At 46.3% G+C, this 16439-nt stretch overlaps 1 annotated feature.

Moving 5' to 3' along the window:
- Positions 13172-13813: an enhancer, noted in NCBI's record as "NANOG hESC enhancer chr3:72585386-72586027 (GRCh37/hg19 assembly coordinates)". NCBI's record gives its function as "activates a minimal SCP1, AML or CMV promoter by ChIP-STARR-seq in primed H9 embryonic stem cells {active_cell/tissue: H9 hESC(primed)}" and the evidence as "EXISTENCE:reporter gene assay evidence [ECO:0000049][PMID:30033119]".

Genomic DNA, 16439 nt, shown 5'->3' with positions numbered 1-16439 from the left:
CTTCCTTGTTCATCTGACGACCGGGCCTTAGGTGCCTATCGTGACATTACCTCCTCACCTTCCACCCTTTTCCTTGAGTGTGTCTACTCCTCACATCCTGGTCTTAGCAAGCCCCCTAGGGAGGGATGCAGCCCTGCAGTTGAGCTCCGTCACCTAGGCAGCCCTAGGCTGGCACTGGGGACAGGGGCAGGGATGCTGACTGAGGCCAGATGGCTTCCAGTGGGGTGGCTGCTGCCAGCAGTGCATATGGGATGCATGGGGAGGGCGTGCTGGTGACAGGCGGCTCTTCACTCCTTGCATCCCTCCATCTCACTGCAGAGGTCCCCCGGGACCCTCTCCAAATGCTGATGAGCCCCACCAAGGGCTGCGTGGCCCCCTCTGAAGTTGGTACCATCAGAGTCTCCACCTCGAATGCTCCAGAACAAAGGCACATCCTTGGGGATTCTATAAAGACTAAGTCTCTTGCTCTCTACCTCTGTCATGTCACGTTATTTTTTATTCGCCACCATAGCCAATATTTTCAAAGCCCTCCTTCTGTGCCAGGTGCAGTACCAAGTGCTGTACAGGCATTGTCTTCGCGGATGCACCTGCTGCGACCTCACATTAAAAGGAGAAACGGACGCTGATCAGGGAGGAAAAGACCCTGCCCGAGGACCCTGGAAGGTGAGAGCCAGGCTCAGAATGTGACCCCAAGGGCTGCCCTTTACCCCCTGTGCTCTGCTGCCTCTCTGTGTGCATGCCTTGAATGAGGATGATCCTCGACTCCAATGTGTTTCCACATACTCAATTGTTAGTGAAATAACAGATTTTTATAAGCTGTTAGCTGGGAAAATGAGGAACTGAATGGTTCTTCCCTGGGCTTCTCAGCCCCAGGAGTTCTCTTCCGTTCATAGCAACTACACCCAGCTGTCTCCATGAGGAGCGCTAAGGAGGGGTGAAGGGAAACAGTGGGAAGGAGGAGGTTTAAATGCACTCTGATGGGAATGTCTGGGAAACAAAGCCCAGGCATGAGCTTACTTCTTTACTTCCTTTCTGCTCTTCCCCCGGACTTTTTTGGGTCTGTATTAGAGCTCATCCCAGTTGCCCTGAGTCTCCCTGCCAACCTGGGACACCCCCATCCCAGCCTTGCCCAGGCTGCCATTAGCGTCACAGATGGTGTGGGGCCCTGGGAGAGTCAACTTCCCCTCTCTGGGCCTCACTGTCCTCATCTCACAAATCAAGACAATAATAATATCTACCTTAAAATCATACCTTAAATATGTGCAGTGTACCGTATGTCAAGTACACTTTAATCAAGAGGTTTTCAAAAGCACAGCACTCTGTGGTTTAGGGGTGCCTGCTTAGGTGTCTTCAACAAAGCAAGGAAGCTATTACCAACTGGGAGGGAAGAGGTGGTGGCCTGGACAGGATGTGAGGCCCCTGGGATATGGACAACTTACCTGGACCTGGGCAGTGAGGAAGCAGATGTTAGTTGATAATACTTTGTTAAACTCTACATTTATGCTTTTGGTGTTTGTGAATACAAATTTTTTGTTTTTTGTTTTTTGTTTTTTTGAGATGGAGTTTCACTCTTGTTGCTCAGGCTGGAGTGCAATGGCGTGATCTCGGCTCACTGCAACCTCCGCCTCCCGGGTTCAAGTGATTCTCTTGCCTCAGCCTCCCAAGTAGCTGGGATTACAGGTGCACACCACCACTCCCAGCTAATTTTTTTTTTGTATTTTTAGTAGAGATGGGGTTTCTCCATGTTGGTCAGGCTGGTCTTGAACTCCTGACCTCAGGTGGTCTGCCCACCTCGGTCTCCCAAAGTGCTAGGATTACAGGTGTGAGCCACTGCACCTGGCTGAATACAAATGTTATATTTCACAACTTTGGAAATGTTCAAAAATAATACAGTTTACCTCCCGGGGTGGTTGGTGCATTCTTTCAGACATGCATCCAGTGCCCTTGCACCTAGTAGGTGCTCAAAGAACAGGGTTGGGGTGGCTCTTCCCTGGTCGTTATTCAGCCAAGGGAGAGCTCAGTGGTTGGTAAGGCTCAGAACCCCAAGAAGAACATTAAAGAGAAGAGGGAGTGGCAGTCGGCAGTGGAGTGAGGAAGAGATAGATAAGTTATTGCCAAATTCATGGGAAAGTGAGAAATTTATTAAGAATCATCTGCATCCCAGGCCAGCGTAGTTTCAGAAAGGAGCTTTGCTAATGGTTTTTAAATTCCTTGTTTGTTCATTCATGCAAGAAATATATATTGAGCACCTGCCATGTGGCAGGCACTGCACTGGCTGAGGGAATACTGGGAGGACAGAGTCCCTTCTCTCAGGGCTTACAGACTGCCAGAGAAGTGCACATTTAATGGGGTGGACTCCATCCGCTGGGCTAAGAACAAGGCTGCAGAAATAGAGTGTGGCTGAGCCCCTAAGGGAGTCCTTCTGCCCAGTGGGTTTTTTTTTCATTTGGGGGACTGGTAATTGTCAGAGAAGTCTTTCTGAAAGAAGTCACACGTAAACTGAGCCCCAGAGTTAGTTGAATCTAGCATATTCCAGGCAGAGCAACAGTACATGCAAAAGCCCAGAGGTGAGAAAGAGAGGGTGGTGACTTTGAGGAACTATAGAAATATTTGCATGGCTAGAGTGCAGAGAGAGAGAGAGAAGGAGAGACCAGTGAGGTAAGCCAAGGTCAGTTCACAAAGGGCCTTCTGTGCCCGGATAAGGAGTCTGGCTGCACTCCTAAAAGCAATGGAGAGCCACTGAAGGATGGCAAGCAGGGAGGGGTGCTATATTGTCCCAAGCTTCCTTTTAGAAGTACGTGGTGACTGCCATGTCTGTTAGAAATGGATGGTTACCCTGGGTGAGCAATGCCAGCCTCCCCTTCTGGAACAAGAGCTGCATGGGGGCCACTAGAACAAAATGCCTGAGGCTGAGTAATTTATAAAGAACAGAAATTTATTTCTCAGAGTTCTGGAGGCTGGAAGTCCAAGATCAAGGCAGGTTCGATGTCTGGTGAGGCCTGGCCTCTGCTTCCAAGATGGCACCTTGTTGCTTCTTCCTCCAGAGGGAACAAAGGCTGTGTCCTCACATGAAGGGCAAAATGGGCCTAGGGAATTCTTCCCAGCCATTTTATAAGGGCATTAATCCCATTCACAAGGGCTCTACCCTCACGACTTAATCACATCCTAAAGACGCCACCTAATAATATCATCACATTGTCGATTAAGTTTTAACATATGGGCCGGGTGTGGTGGCTCACGCCTATAATCCCAGTACTTTGGAAGGCCAAGGCAGGCGGATCACTTCAGGTCAGGAGTTTGAGACCAGCCTGGCCAACATAGTGAAACCCTGTCTCTACTAAAAATACAAAAATTAGCCAGGCGTGGAGGTGGGCATCTGTAATCCCAGCTACTTGGGAGGCTGAGGGAGGAGAATCGCTTGAACCTGGGAGGCAGAGGTTGCAGTGAGCTGAGATTGTGCCATTTGCACTCCAGACTGGGCAGCAGAGTGAGACTCCACAAAAAAAAGAAACTTTCAACCCAGGAGTTTTGGAGAGCACATGCAGACCACAGCACTGCCCAACTCAGAAAAACAAGAATCCTGATTGTCAGGGAACCATGGATGAAAGCCTCACAGGGACAGGGATGCTCGGGCTTGCTGCATGGAGCTCTCTTCAGGGCCAGGGCCAGGGCCTTGCATAGAACAAGAACTCCAAGCTTGCAGATGAGCTAGCGAGGCTGCTTCTGTCTAGCTTTACTTTTCCTTAATTTCTAGGACTGTAATTGGCTGAGCAATTAAGACTTGTATTTACGGGCGGGTGTGGTGGCTCACGCCTGTAATCCCAGCACTTTGGGAGGCAGAGGCAGGCAGATCACGAGGTCAGGAGTTCAAGACCAGCCTGACCAACATGGTGAAACCCCATCTCTACTAAAAATACAAAAATTAGCCAGGTGTGGTGGCGTGCACCTATAATCCCAGCTACTCGGGAGGCTGAGGCAGAAGAATCGCTTGAACCTGGGAGGCAGAGGTTGCAGTGAGCCGAGATCGCACCACTGAACTCCAGCCTGGGCCACAGAGCAAGACCCCATCTCAAACAAACAAACAAACAAACAAACAAAAACTTGTATTTACACAGAACACTCTGCCTTATGGAAACCCGAAACTCTTAAGTGTCTATTTGATTTGTGGCCAGCATTCAACTTTCAGTCTGATGAAAGGCTCACTTCTCAAACGGAATATATCTTATTTGTTTGTTTGGGTGACATTAGTGAGAATCAGGGTCCCATGGGGAAAAATGGAGATTCACAGGATCTACCTTCTCCTCTAGAAATGTTGATTCAGTATGTGTATCAGCTGGCACTTGCTTGGTTATACTGCAGTAACAAATGATTCCTCAAATCTCAGTGGCGTATAATGAAAAAAAGGTTTGTTTTCTACTGACATTTCATATTGGCTGTGTATCAGATCTGCCACACTTTCTTCATTTAAGGACTCACACAGAAGGAACAGCCCCATAGGGGACATACACTTGCATCAGAGATGTATCATCAGGCTGGGTGTGGTGGCTCACGCCTGTAATCCCAGCACTTTGGGAGGCCGAGGCAGGTAGATCACCTGAGGTGAGGAGTTCAAAACCAGCCTGGCCAATATGGTGAAATCCTGTCTCTACCAAACAAAAAAAAAAAAAATTAGCCAGGCATGGTGGTGCACGACTGTAGTCACAGCTACTTGGGAGGCTGAGGCAGGAGAATCACTTGAACCTGGGAGGTGGAGGTTGCAGTGGGCCCAGATAGTGCCACTGTACTCCAGCCTGGGTGTTAAAGTGAGACTCCTCCTCAAAAAAAACCAAAAACAAAAAAAACAAAAAAACCCCATGTATCATTGTCTTATAGGAAAGAAGGAGCAAATGACTGGGAACTGTAATACTGTTTACCATAAGAGGTCTGGGGTGGGGCCCAGGGTTATAAGGCTATGCATTTTTAAAATTTTTTTCTAAGTTTTTTTTATAGAGATGAAGTCTTGCTACATTGCCCAGGCTGGACTCGAACTCCTGGGCTCAAGCAATCCTCATGCCTCGGCCTCTCAAAATGCTGGGATTACAGGAGTGAGCCACTGCACTCAGCCAAGGGCTACACATTTTTAACAATATATGCAGGTGAGTCTGTTGCAGGAGGTCTGAGGGCCATGTGTTCAGATAAAGAAAGGCATTGGTCTGGACTGGTTTCTCCATGGGCAAATTCAGGCAGTTTTCAGCCTCTCTATTTGACACCTAAATCTTCACTTTCAATGCTCTTTCTCCTTGACGAGGTCTCCTCTCAGAAGCCTTCAGAGCCTGAGTGCTCCACAGTTGAGCCTTGAGTCCCGTATCTCTCCCCTATACCTCCAGCTCTGTTTTCCACTAGAGAACACAAATAAATCTGGTTTTCAAAAAACAATGAATGTAAATGGGCATGCATACGTTTATGTGTTTACCCTGCCTGAGTACGTATTTGCATTTTAACCAGACTGTTTTCATGACCCAGAATTCATTGCATGATGAGCATTTCAGGCACTGTAACTAGTTGTAATGGAGGGTAGTATTAGAATGTGTATTCTCCCTCCACCCTCCCAGCTGATGGGCCATCTCTCTGCTCCTTCTTGCTTATCTCTGGTACTGCACTTGCCACTTGATGTTATAATGGTCTATACATTTGTCTCCCTTATGAGGTTCTTAAGGGCGGAAGCTTTGAGTTCTTTTTTCAGTCTCCTGCATCAAACATGTTTGATGAGTGAATACGTATTTGTCATTTGGGTATTATTGCAACCCACTCTTGGACCATTTGAAAACTTGGATTTTTTTTTTTTTTTTTTTTTTTTTGCTCATTTCCTGACACTTCTTCCTGGTTGCTTAAAACTGCTCTGGTCAATATGGTAACCATCAGCCACATATGCCTCTGAGCAATTGAAATGTGGCTCGTCTGAACTGACATGTAAAATATTAGATGTAAAATATTGGGTTTCAGAGACTTAGAATGAAAAAAGTGTAAAATGTCTTATTGCATTTAAAATATTTCATTCATAGTTTTATATTGATTATAGGTGAAAATTATAATATTTTGGATATAGTATATGAAAATAAAATATTGTTAAAATTGAATTACTATTATTTAATATTTATTAATGGTTATTAAAATTATGAAATCCTGTTTCCTCTGACTTTTTAAATGTGCCTACAAGAAAAATTTTAATTTTTTTATGTATTTCACTTTATTTATTTATTTTTTTAGAGAGATGGGGTCTTGCTCTGTTGCCCAGGTTGGAGTGCAGCAGTGTGATCAGAGCTCACTGCAGCTTCAAACTCCTGGGCTCAAGGGATCCTCCTATTTCAGCCTCTGGAGTAGCTGGGACTTATATGTGTGCATCACCATGCCCGGCTACTTTTTTTTTTTTTTTTTTTTTTTTCCATAGAGATGGTGTCTCATTATGTTGCCCAGGCTAGTCTCAAACTCCTGGCCTTAAATGATCTTCCCATTTAGGCTTCCCAACGTGCTGGGATTACAGGCATGAGCCACCAGGCCCAGGTCACCAGAAATTTTTAAATTGCATAATGAGGCTTGTGTTATATTTCTTCTAGACAGTGCTGTTTTAGAGAATTCTAACAGTTTCTCAATCACATCTGCAGTTTTCTTCACTTCCCTGGGGAGTAATTCACTTCGGTGTGGAAATAGGGACATACTTTAAGGAACAAACGAGCACCTAACAGTAGCTTTGCCTCTCTCTGCCTTCAATTCCCTTAAATAGAGTTTTCCCCTTCCAATTTCTCTGGTGGGGAGGATGCCATCACCCAGCAAATTCCAGCAATTCAATCCTACTTGAGCCAAAACATCATTTCTATCAGAATTGGGTCTGTAGCAAAGGTTCTTTTTGGTCCTGGTTGGCTGAGCAGGTTTGGTATCTAAATCCTTAATCCTACAATCTCACAACTTTGTAAGTGAGATTGACAGGCATGAAAAAGTTAGAGGAGGAAGAGAATATCTTAAAATATGCAGCCCTGCCAGGAGTGTGGGCACCCTTGGTGGGGATGGGGGCGTGCACAGTGACTGCCAGGAGGCACAAGGGGCTTTCCAGGAGCCTGAAATATGCTGATTCTTGGTTTGGGTACTGATTATGTGGGTGCAGTCACTTTATGAAAAGTCATCAAACTGTATACATTTACGATTTGTTTGTTTTTCCGTGGGTACGTTACATTTTATTAAAAAGTTTACATACGCCTGGTGCAGTAGCTCATGCCCGTAATCCCAGCAATTTGGGGGGCTGAGGTAGGAGGATCACTTGAAGCCGGGAGTTTGAGACCAGCCTGGGCAACATAGCAAGACCCTGTCTCTGCAAAATATTTAAAAATTGGCTGGGCATGATGGTGCACACCTGTAGTCCTAGCTACTTGGGAGGCTGAAGCAGGAGGATCACTTGAGCCCAGGGATTTGAGGTTACAGCAAGCTATGATCATGCCACTGCACTGTTGCCTGAATGGAACTGCAAGACCTCATCTCTAATAAGCATAAAAGTCAATGTAAAAAAAGTGTACATAGGCCAGGTGCAGTGGCTCATGCCTGTAATCCCAGCACCTTGGGAGGTCAAGGCAGGCAGATCACCTGAGGTCAGGAGTTTGAGACCAGCATGGCCAAGATGGTGAAACCCATCTCTACTAAAAAAAAAAAAAAAAAAAATTTGCCAGTCATGGTGGTGCATTCTTGTAATCCCAGCTACTTGGGAGGCTGAGGCAGGAGAATCACTTGAACCTGGGAGGCGGAGGTTGCAGTGAGCCAACATTGTGCCACTGAACTCCAGCCTGGGTGACAGAGCAAGACTCCATCTCAAAAAAAAAAAAAAAGTGTACATAGTAAAGCAAATAGGATATGAAAGATATGAGTGACAGTCACAAAAATAAGATGAGAGAAAATTGAAGTCCTGTGAAAATAAGTCTCTAGGGCAGGATGTAAAAAAACTTTCATCATTTAGCATTTTAAATGTGTTAAATATGATCAATAAAATTATTTACAGCTTTTGTGACAGTAGCTTATGATGGCCCCCATGATCTGCCTGTGGTCATGCCCTTGTGAGGGTCCACTTTTGAGTGTGGATGGAACTGTGACCTGCTTCTAACCAATAGAATACAGCAAACGTGACAGAATGTGTGCAGTTATATGTACCTGATTACATGACATAGATGTTGGTGTGGTTTCTGCATCCCCCGCTAACTTTGAAGAAGCAAGCGTCATTTTTAGGAAACCCACACGGGAGGGACACCCCAGTGGTATCCTCTAGGAGCTGAGGGTGGCGTCTGTTCAACAGTCAGTAAGTAACTGAGACCTTCAGTCCTAAACCACAAGTAACTGAATTCTGCCAGCAGCCTGAGGGGGCTGGAAAGCAGGTCCTTCCCCAGTCAAGCCTCTAATGAGACCACAGCCCCAGCTGACACCTGGGTTGCATACATGTGAAGACAGAGAGCAAGTAAGCTCTCTGGTATCTCTTCTAAGGATACCAATCCTATTCTAAGAAAGCCCCATCCTTATACCCTTATTTAGCCTTAATTGCCTCATTGTAGTCCCTATTTCCACACACAGTGACATTAGGGGTTAGGGCTTCAGCATTTGAGTAGTGGTGGGAAGGATACAATTCAATCCATAGCAATGTGTGTACAAGTTTTTAGAAATTGAAGGTAGGAGCGGCTGGGCGCGGTGGCTCACACCTGTAATCTCAGCACTTTGGGAGGCCAAGGTGGGCAGATCACGAGGTCAAGAGATCAAGACCATCCTGGCCAACATGGTGAAACCCTGTCTCTACTAAAAATACAAAAAATTAGCCAGGTGTGGTGGTGGGCTCCTGTAATCCCAGCTACTTGAGAGGCTGAGGGAGGAGAATCGCTTGAACCTGGGAGGTGGAGGTTGCAGTGAGCTGAGATCGCACCATTGCACCACTCCAGCCTGGGCAAAAAGAGCGAAACTCCGTCTCAAAAAAAAAAAAAAAAAAAAGAAATTGAAGGTAGGATTTTATTCTCTTTTCACTGAGCAACGTATCCTGACTATATTCTCACATTATTCAATATTCTTCTACATTATTTTTATTGGCTGCATAGTGTTCCCGCATAATGCTGCAGAATGGCTGTGTGAATGAACCATTAGCCACTTAACTGATCTCATTTGGCTGTATATTTAGATGATTTCCACTTGTTTTCATTAGAAATGACATAGGTATCCATGTGCTTGTACATAGAAGTGATTGTAATATGCTTAATTTGTATATCCGGGATTACTTTCTTCTGGATAGGTATTACCTTGAAAAATTTATCAAAAAGGAGCCCCTATATTTTTGCTTTTGTTCTAAGCTATGTTATAGCAGAGAATAGAAAGACAGATATTATTAGGAAATTAGATCTGGGATGCTCCTGTAGCTTTTGGAAGCCTTGGGGCTCAAGGAAGCAGTGTTATTAGGGACTCAGGGAATTACCCGAGATGCTCTGCTTTAAGAGGCAGCTTCCAAGAGTGGCTTGTTTTGCATGTGCTTTTGCCCTGAGGCGATGCATGTGGGGCACAGCCTTCAGGCCCTTTGGAGAGATGTCATGAAGCCGCGTGCCATCTTACAAAGCAGAGAAAAGAAATTGACAAGGATAAGTAAGTCCTACAATTTATAGGAAGAAGTGAGGACATGAAATAAACCATCCCAGCAAACACATGGCCAGGCTCATGGGAAATGGTGATGCTGGAGGGTGTTAAGGAGATGGTTTTGGTCAGGACGTTGGCATACCCAAATCCTGCTTTAGAACATCTCTGCTTGAGAAAGATAAAGATGCAGAGAATGAAACTATGAAATATATTGTGGTCAGCCTTTGTTGGTTTTGCCTTCCCAGCATCCGTTCTCCATTCTTCTGGTAACAGGACCCTGACTATCCTTTGGGAGCCAGACTTCGCCCACTCTCTGTCCAGGAGTGGGCACAGAACCCAGGCCTGACCAGTCCAGCAGAGGGTGCATTGATAGGTTTGCAACCCAGGCCTGGCTGACCTAGGTCTTCCAGGACTCTGGCTTGAATCTAAGAGAATCACAGGGCTTCGTTTGTTTCTACTGGTAGAGCGTGAGCCTTGAGTAGCTGATAGTGGTGCTTACCACTCAGGAATAAAGGCAAGTTGAGGCGAGAAATGGGGAAACAGTGAGTCTTGATGTGATTGTTGAGCTGCTGGACTCAGCTGTATCAGAAGCCACTGAAGCAAAAGCACCCTCTTCCCTTCTCTCATCTTTTTAAATTTTTAAGCCAATTTGAATTGGGCTTCTTTTTGTTGGCAACCAAGAGTCCTGAATGAAATACATTTTTATTTAACTGGGGCTCCCTATGCATGTCCAATGCAGACTGGTGAGCTCTGATATAGAACCTTTTTATCTGAGTTGATGCAACACTTGTGATCTAGAACCAAAGCAGCCCATATAGACTTCCTCATCTTACCACTGCAATGAGAGGAAAGGGCAGAACCCACCCATCAGTGAGCAGAGAGAGAGAGAGAGAGAGAGAGAGAGAGAGAGAGAGAGAGAGAATATGTGTGCAAAGGTAGGGTGAGGGGGGTTCTATGTGGGAGTAGAACAGGAATCTAAAGAGACAGAAATGGCTGGGGTGGTCATTGCTTTTCCTGCTCAGCCACGTAGAAGAAGGGGGCAAGGAGAGACCACCCCCATGTGTGCATAGCTTTTTGAATTCAGTGAGTGTTCTATCTGTTTTGGAGCTGATGGCCCGTCAGAGCATTTGAGTTAGACCCAAACCTCCATCCCTGCTCCATGGGGTGGAATAGAAGGAGGTAATGAGCTCTGCTTATTCAAAAAGCTTTAAGGTCAACAAGCCAGTACGGAATATGGGTGAGGCTACATCAGCAGTTCCAGCGACCTGGCCATCTTGTCACTCCCTCAGAAGGGACTGCCTACTCTAAGACTGTCCTCGCAGGGTGTGATGGCATATGCCTATTATCCTAGCTACTCAGGAGGCTGAGGCGGGATGACTTGAGCCCAAGAATTCAAATCCAGGCTAGGAGATACAATGAGACCCTATCTCTGAACTTAAATAGAGAAGTACATAAATATAAATTAAATTAAACATTAAATTTTGTTTAAAATTTAAAAATAAAAATACAGGCATCAGCCACCACCAGATGCAGTGGCTGACACCTGTAATCCCAACACTTTGGAATGCCAAACAGGGAGTATCACTTTAGCTCAGGAGTTCAAGACCAGCCTAGGCAACATTACCTTGTCTCTACAAAATAAATAAATAAAAAAAAAATCAATAAAAATGCTTATGGTAGAAAAAATACCACGATTTAAAAAAAAAAAAAAGACTGTTGAGTGGTGACTCAGCCCCACCTACTCTTTCTGTCTTCCCTTTCTGCCACCTCGGCTTGTTTCCCTCCACTCTATGTGTCCCCCAGAGGGTAAGCCCTAACTTGGATAGTTCCCATTTGTCTACTGCAGGGCTTCTCTGTCAGTCAGAGTTTTTGCACCAGGCCTCCTCATTGGCTGCCAGGCTCCCTTATGTCTACACGTGGCAGTTTGGGGCTAGCAGATCTGACCAGACTGTGGTCAGGGTGATGGTGATGGGGGTGGTCCCATGACCCAATTTATGGCAACTCAAATGGGACAATGTCTGGCTTCTTGCCTGAGAGCAGAAAAGCCAAAGTAGGTTCCAGAACCCTTGTCTTGGTTCCTCTTTCCCAGCCCAGGTTGAAAGAATATGTATAGTATGCAGTAGTGTCTACGTGTGTCTGTGAGAGCATGTATGAACATGCAAGCATACGGAACATTTGACACTGAGCTCCTCTTTTCTTACACATGTTCATTTCCTCCCTTCCTCCTCACTGTTCTCTTTTTCAAGTAGTCTGTAATTGTATGAGCCAGACTGTGTTGCCTAGGCTACAGGTGTTTTCTATCCATTTCAGGCTCCTGTCAGCCATTGAATGTAGGACCAGGTCCCAGAATGTCGGCCACGAACCGGCAATGTCTTAGTCACACCTGCTAGGCGATGTACCTGCCAAAGGTCGCCCAACACCCAGTCCTGCCATCTGTCATGGCAGGCCACTGGAAGGGCCCCACTCAGTCTGGCCACTTGATCCCAAGTTGGAAGGATTGAAAATCATGTGCCCTTTTGAGTCGTCTTGCCTTGCTTTGTTTACAGAGCTGGTTCGCAAAGTGTGATCCCTGGAACAGCAGCATTAAGAAAGGCAGCTTGTCAGAAAGGCACCTTCTGGATTCCTAACCCAGACCCCAGAAGCTCAGGGGGTGAACCCAGCTTTCTGTGTTTTAACAAGCCCTCCAGGTGACTCTGATGCTTGGTAGAGTTTGAGAACCAGTGGGCGACAGCATGGTGTCATAGGGCTTGAGTTTGCATAGTAAAAATATCCACAGCAGCTGATGCTAACTGGGCTGATTACTGCCCGGCTCTGAGCCCGGTGCTGAGCTACGCACTTTACATGAACCATCGAGTGCAAGGTTCTCCTCCTGCCTGAACACTGGAGCCAATGAGGATCTTTTGAAACATCCTGATGCTTGGGCCCAACTCAGACAAACAGAATGCAGATGGCCTGGCGGAGATCTAGGCAAATTGGTACTTTTTAAAATCTCCCCAGGAGATTCTGATTCACAGGGAGGGTTCAGAGCACACTTTTGGTCCCATCTCTGATGCCCTTCAGCTGTGTGGCTGTGGGAACAGTGCCAAAGCTCACCCTCCCAGCCTTGCTTTCTGCATCTGTAAAATGGGGATGACGATCCTAGCCTCTCACCTCCCAAGGTTGTCACATGCAATAAATTAAATAAAAGATGTAAAATCTTATGGTAATTGCCTTTAAAATTGTAAACAAGTTGGGCTTGAACCCCGAGCTCAAGAACAGGGAAAACCCCGTGTTTCTCTCAGGAGACGGGTGGAGGCAGTGTCGGAGGGAGGGGCTCCTCTCGTCACTGCCTCTGACTTTCCTTTTAGGTTGACGTCTCCATCTTTGCCCACTGCACATGCGCATTAAATATTCAAGGGTCATTCAAACCCCACCCCCATCTCTCCTCTTTCCAAGCTTCCACCAACTCAAGACTATGGTGTGTAACAGACTTGGCTGAACGATCCTAACAACATCAAATGCTTCTAGCCCAACAGAGCCAACACCTAAAACTGTAAGAGTCCATACAGCCTTCCCACCTCCAGGGAAGTTCATCTTCCTCTTCTCCTTGTGGGCTCCAGCACCCACCCCCATCTTGCTTTCTCTTCAGCTTCCAGCCCCTAGATTTACTTGTTCATCTCCCTTGAAGAGTACTTTAGCTATCTCTTTGTCTAATTTGTAGCCCATTCCTGCCTTGCCTGGAGGGAGCGCTTTCCACAACCTAAGTATCTCATCAGGAGGTTTTGCTGAACAAAAGCACTTGCCTCCTGGAAAAGGAATTCTGCCCCAGTTTGTTTGTTTGTTTTCTTCTCCCCACTACATAAACAGACTTTAAAAACATTGGGTTTGAAAGAAGACATTCATATTGTTGAATGTCCCCTTGCTGGTAATTGACCTTAGAGGGATTATCTCATCCCTTGCTACTCCAAGTGTGATCCATGAACCAGCAACATCAGCACCAATTGGGAGTTTGTTACTAGATGCAGAATCTCAGGCCAGCCCAGACCTACTGAGTAAGGATCTGCATTTTAACAGATCCCCAGGTGAGTCGTTCGCCCACAGAAAGCTTCGAAGCAGCTTTCTAACCTCTCTGAGCCTGTTTCCTAGTGGGTAAAATGGAGATAATGCCTCACTGGGAGGCTGTAAAAATTACATGGGATAATGTATGCAAACACTAAGCTCAGTGTCTTGAAGAGAGAGCCTTCAGTAAATGGTAGCTAATATTATTATTAGCTATTAAGCTGAACAGCTCTGTGCCTGCATTGGAGATTGTTATTCTAGCCAAAAATAGAACCTCTCAGGACGCTGGGACTCTCAGGGTAGAGCGATTGCTGTGTGCTGGGGCCAGGAAGCAGGGGGTCAGCAGGCCCTGAGATTGGAGGACTTCAGAAGAGGGGAAGGGAGAGATTGGCCCCGCTGCCACTAAATCAAAAACGACATTTCATGTGGTTCGACTTAGCACACTCACGACTGCACAGTCTGGTGTGTTGGGGGAGATGCAGAGCCACTGGATCAAGGCGGTGTGTGTTCTTCATGTGACCTGCTTACTCATGGAAAGTAATTGCAGACATCATTTGCATGTTAAAAGTGGAGAGAGAGGGAGCATATAGAGTTTGGTACCACTTATAGCAAGTTGTAGAACAGACAAAACTGAACTAAGGTGATAGAAATCAGAATATTGGTTGTCTGTTGAAGGGTGAGGGGATTAACTGGAAAGAGCCATGAGGGGTCTTGGGAGGTGGATGAAAATGTTCTCGATTGGGGTGGTGGTGGCATTTGTCAAAATCCATCGAACTGTAGACAACAATGAATTAGACAATTAATTTTAATTCATTTTTAAAAGTTGGGAGCTGGGCACAGTGGCTCATGCTTGTAATCCCAGCACTTTGGGAGACTGAGGCTGGAGGATCACTTGAGGTGTGTGCTGGGGCCAGGAAGTTCGAGACTAGCCTGACCAACATGGTGAAACCCTGTCTCTACTAAAAATACAAAAATTAGCCAGAAGTCGTGGTGCGTGCCTGTAATTCCAGCTACTCGGGAGGCTGAGGCAGGAGAATCGCTTGAACCTGGGAGGCAGAGGTTGCAGTGAACTGAGATCACACACCACTGCACTCCAACCTGGGTGACAGAGCAAGACTCCCTCCATCTCAAAAAAAAAAAAAAAAAAAAGCTGGGAATAGAAGGGAGAGACCACAGACTCTCACCCCCCAACCCCTGGCCATTTTCATCTGCCCAAAAATGCAGGCCCTAAACCCAACCTTAGCTGGTCATACTTGATTCAGGGTGGGTAGACAATGGCCAGGGCCAGAGTGAACCAACACCTGGGTGAAATTCCTTGGTCAGACCCTCCCAGGGGCCTGGGGGCAGAGTTTCTAGCCCAACTGGACTATGGAGTATACATTTCAGCAAGAAGGAGCCTTAGAAGGTATCCACTTGTACTCCATCTCCTTGTATAAAGCACCCCTGTGTCCCAGGCCACAACAGCCTGTGCCTTCTGTTTGTTCCCCGATTGCTAGGACATAGTCCACAGTGGGTTCACGGTGTGAAATTTCCTCTCCTCAGTTTCCCTGTAGATTCAGAACATTTCTCAGGGTACTGGTTTGCACTTTTGGGCACAGTCCCTCACATTTTCTTTCTCCAGGCTGCTGGCCCTGCTACATTCCTGCATTGGCCTTAGCTGATCACCACTTTCTTCGAGGTCTGCACCTTGGCCGAGAGAGGAGCAGCGAATTCCCTGTCCTCCCTCACCCTGCGTCCTGAGCCATCTCCCAACTCCTCAAAGCCCCTGGAGACCATGCTTCAACCAGACGCAGGCCATTCTCCCCCATTTCCATTCTGAAACCACTCACTCCAGGCCTTTCTTCACCTTGGAGTCTTGGCCCAATAAAAACTTTTCTCTTCTTTAAATCTTTATTTCCTGTCTCAGGATTAACTTCTCCCGGAAGGATCAGCAGTGGGAATATCTGTTCTTTCAGGGGAAACTCCACTTCCACCCTCAGTGGAAAAAATCCCAAAGGGAGGGCGGATTATTCAGACTACATACAACCACAACCACACACAACCACACAAATACACACACAATCATACGCATACACACAACCACATACACACAACCACACACATACACACACAACCACACACATACACAACCACACACACACCACACACAACCACACACACAACCACAAACACACACACACACACATAAACATACAGACCACACACACCACACACAACCACACATATAACCACACACACACACAACCACACACACACAACCACACACAATCACACATACAACCACACATCCACACAACCACACACACAAACATACAATCTCACACCCACACAAAACCACACACATAACACACAACCTCACACAAACACACACACAACCACACACAAAATCACACACATAAACATACAGACCATACAGACACACTACACAGAACCACACAAACACACATACAGCCACACACACAAAACCACACACACACAGCCCCACACACAACCACACACCCACACAACCACACACAAACATACACAATCACACACACCCACACAAAACCACACACACTACTACACAGGCACACACACAAAGACACACACACACAGGCATATCTTCTCTTTTACACACACGCTCTCTCACACACACACACTCTCTTCACACACACACACGCACACGAACACAGAAAAAGGAAGTGACTTCCACTCGGTGGTTAATGACAGAGCTGCCACTGGAACACAGGTCTCCTGATTGACTTTCTGGCCAATCCTGGTTCCTTTGATTGGGGCTGAAA

Source organism: Homo sapiens, chromosome 3 (genome assembly GCF_000001405.40).
Source record: "Homo sapiens chromosome 3, GRCh38.p14 Primary Assembly".
Classification (NCBI taxonomy): Eukaryota; Metazoa; Chordata; class Mammalia; order Primates; family Hominidae; genus Homo; species Homo sapiens.
Note: the sequence above shows the minus strand (reverse complement) of the source record. Positions and strands in the feature narration are given on the sequence as shown.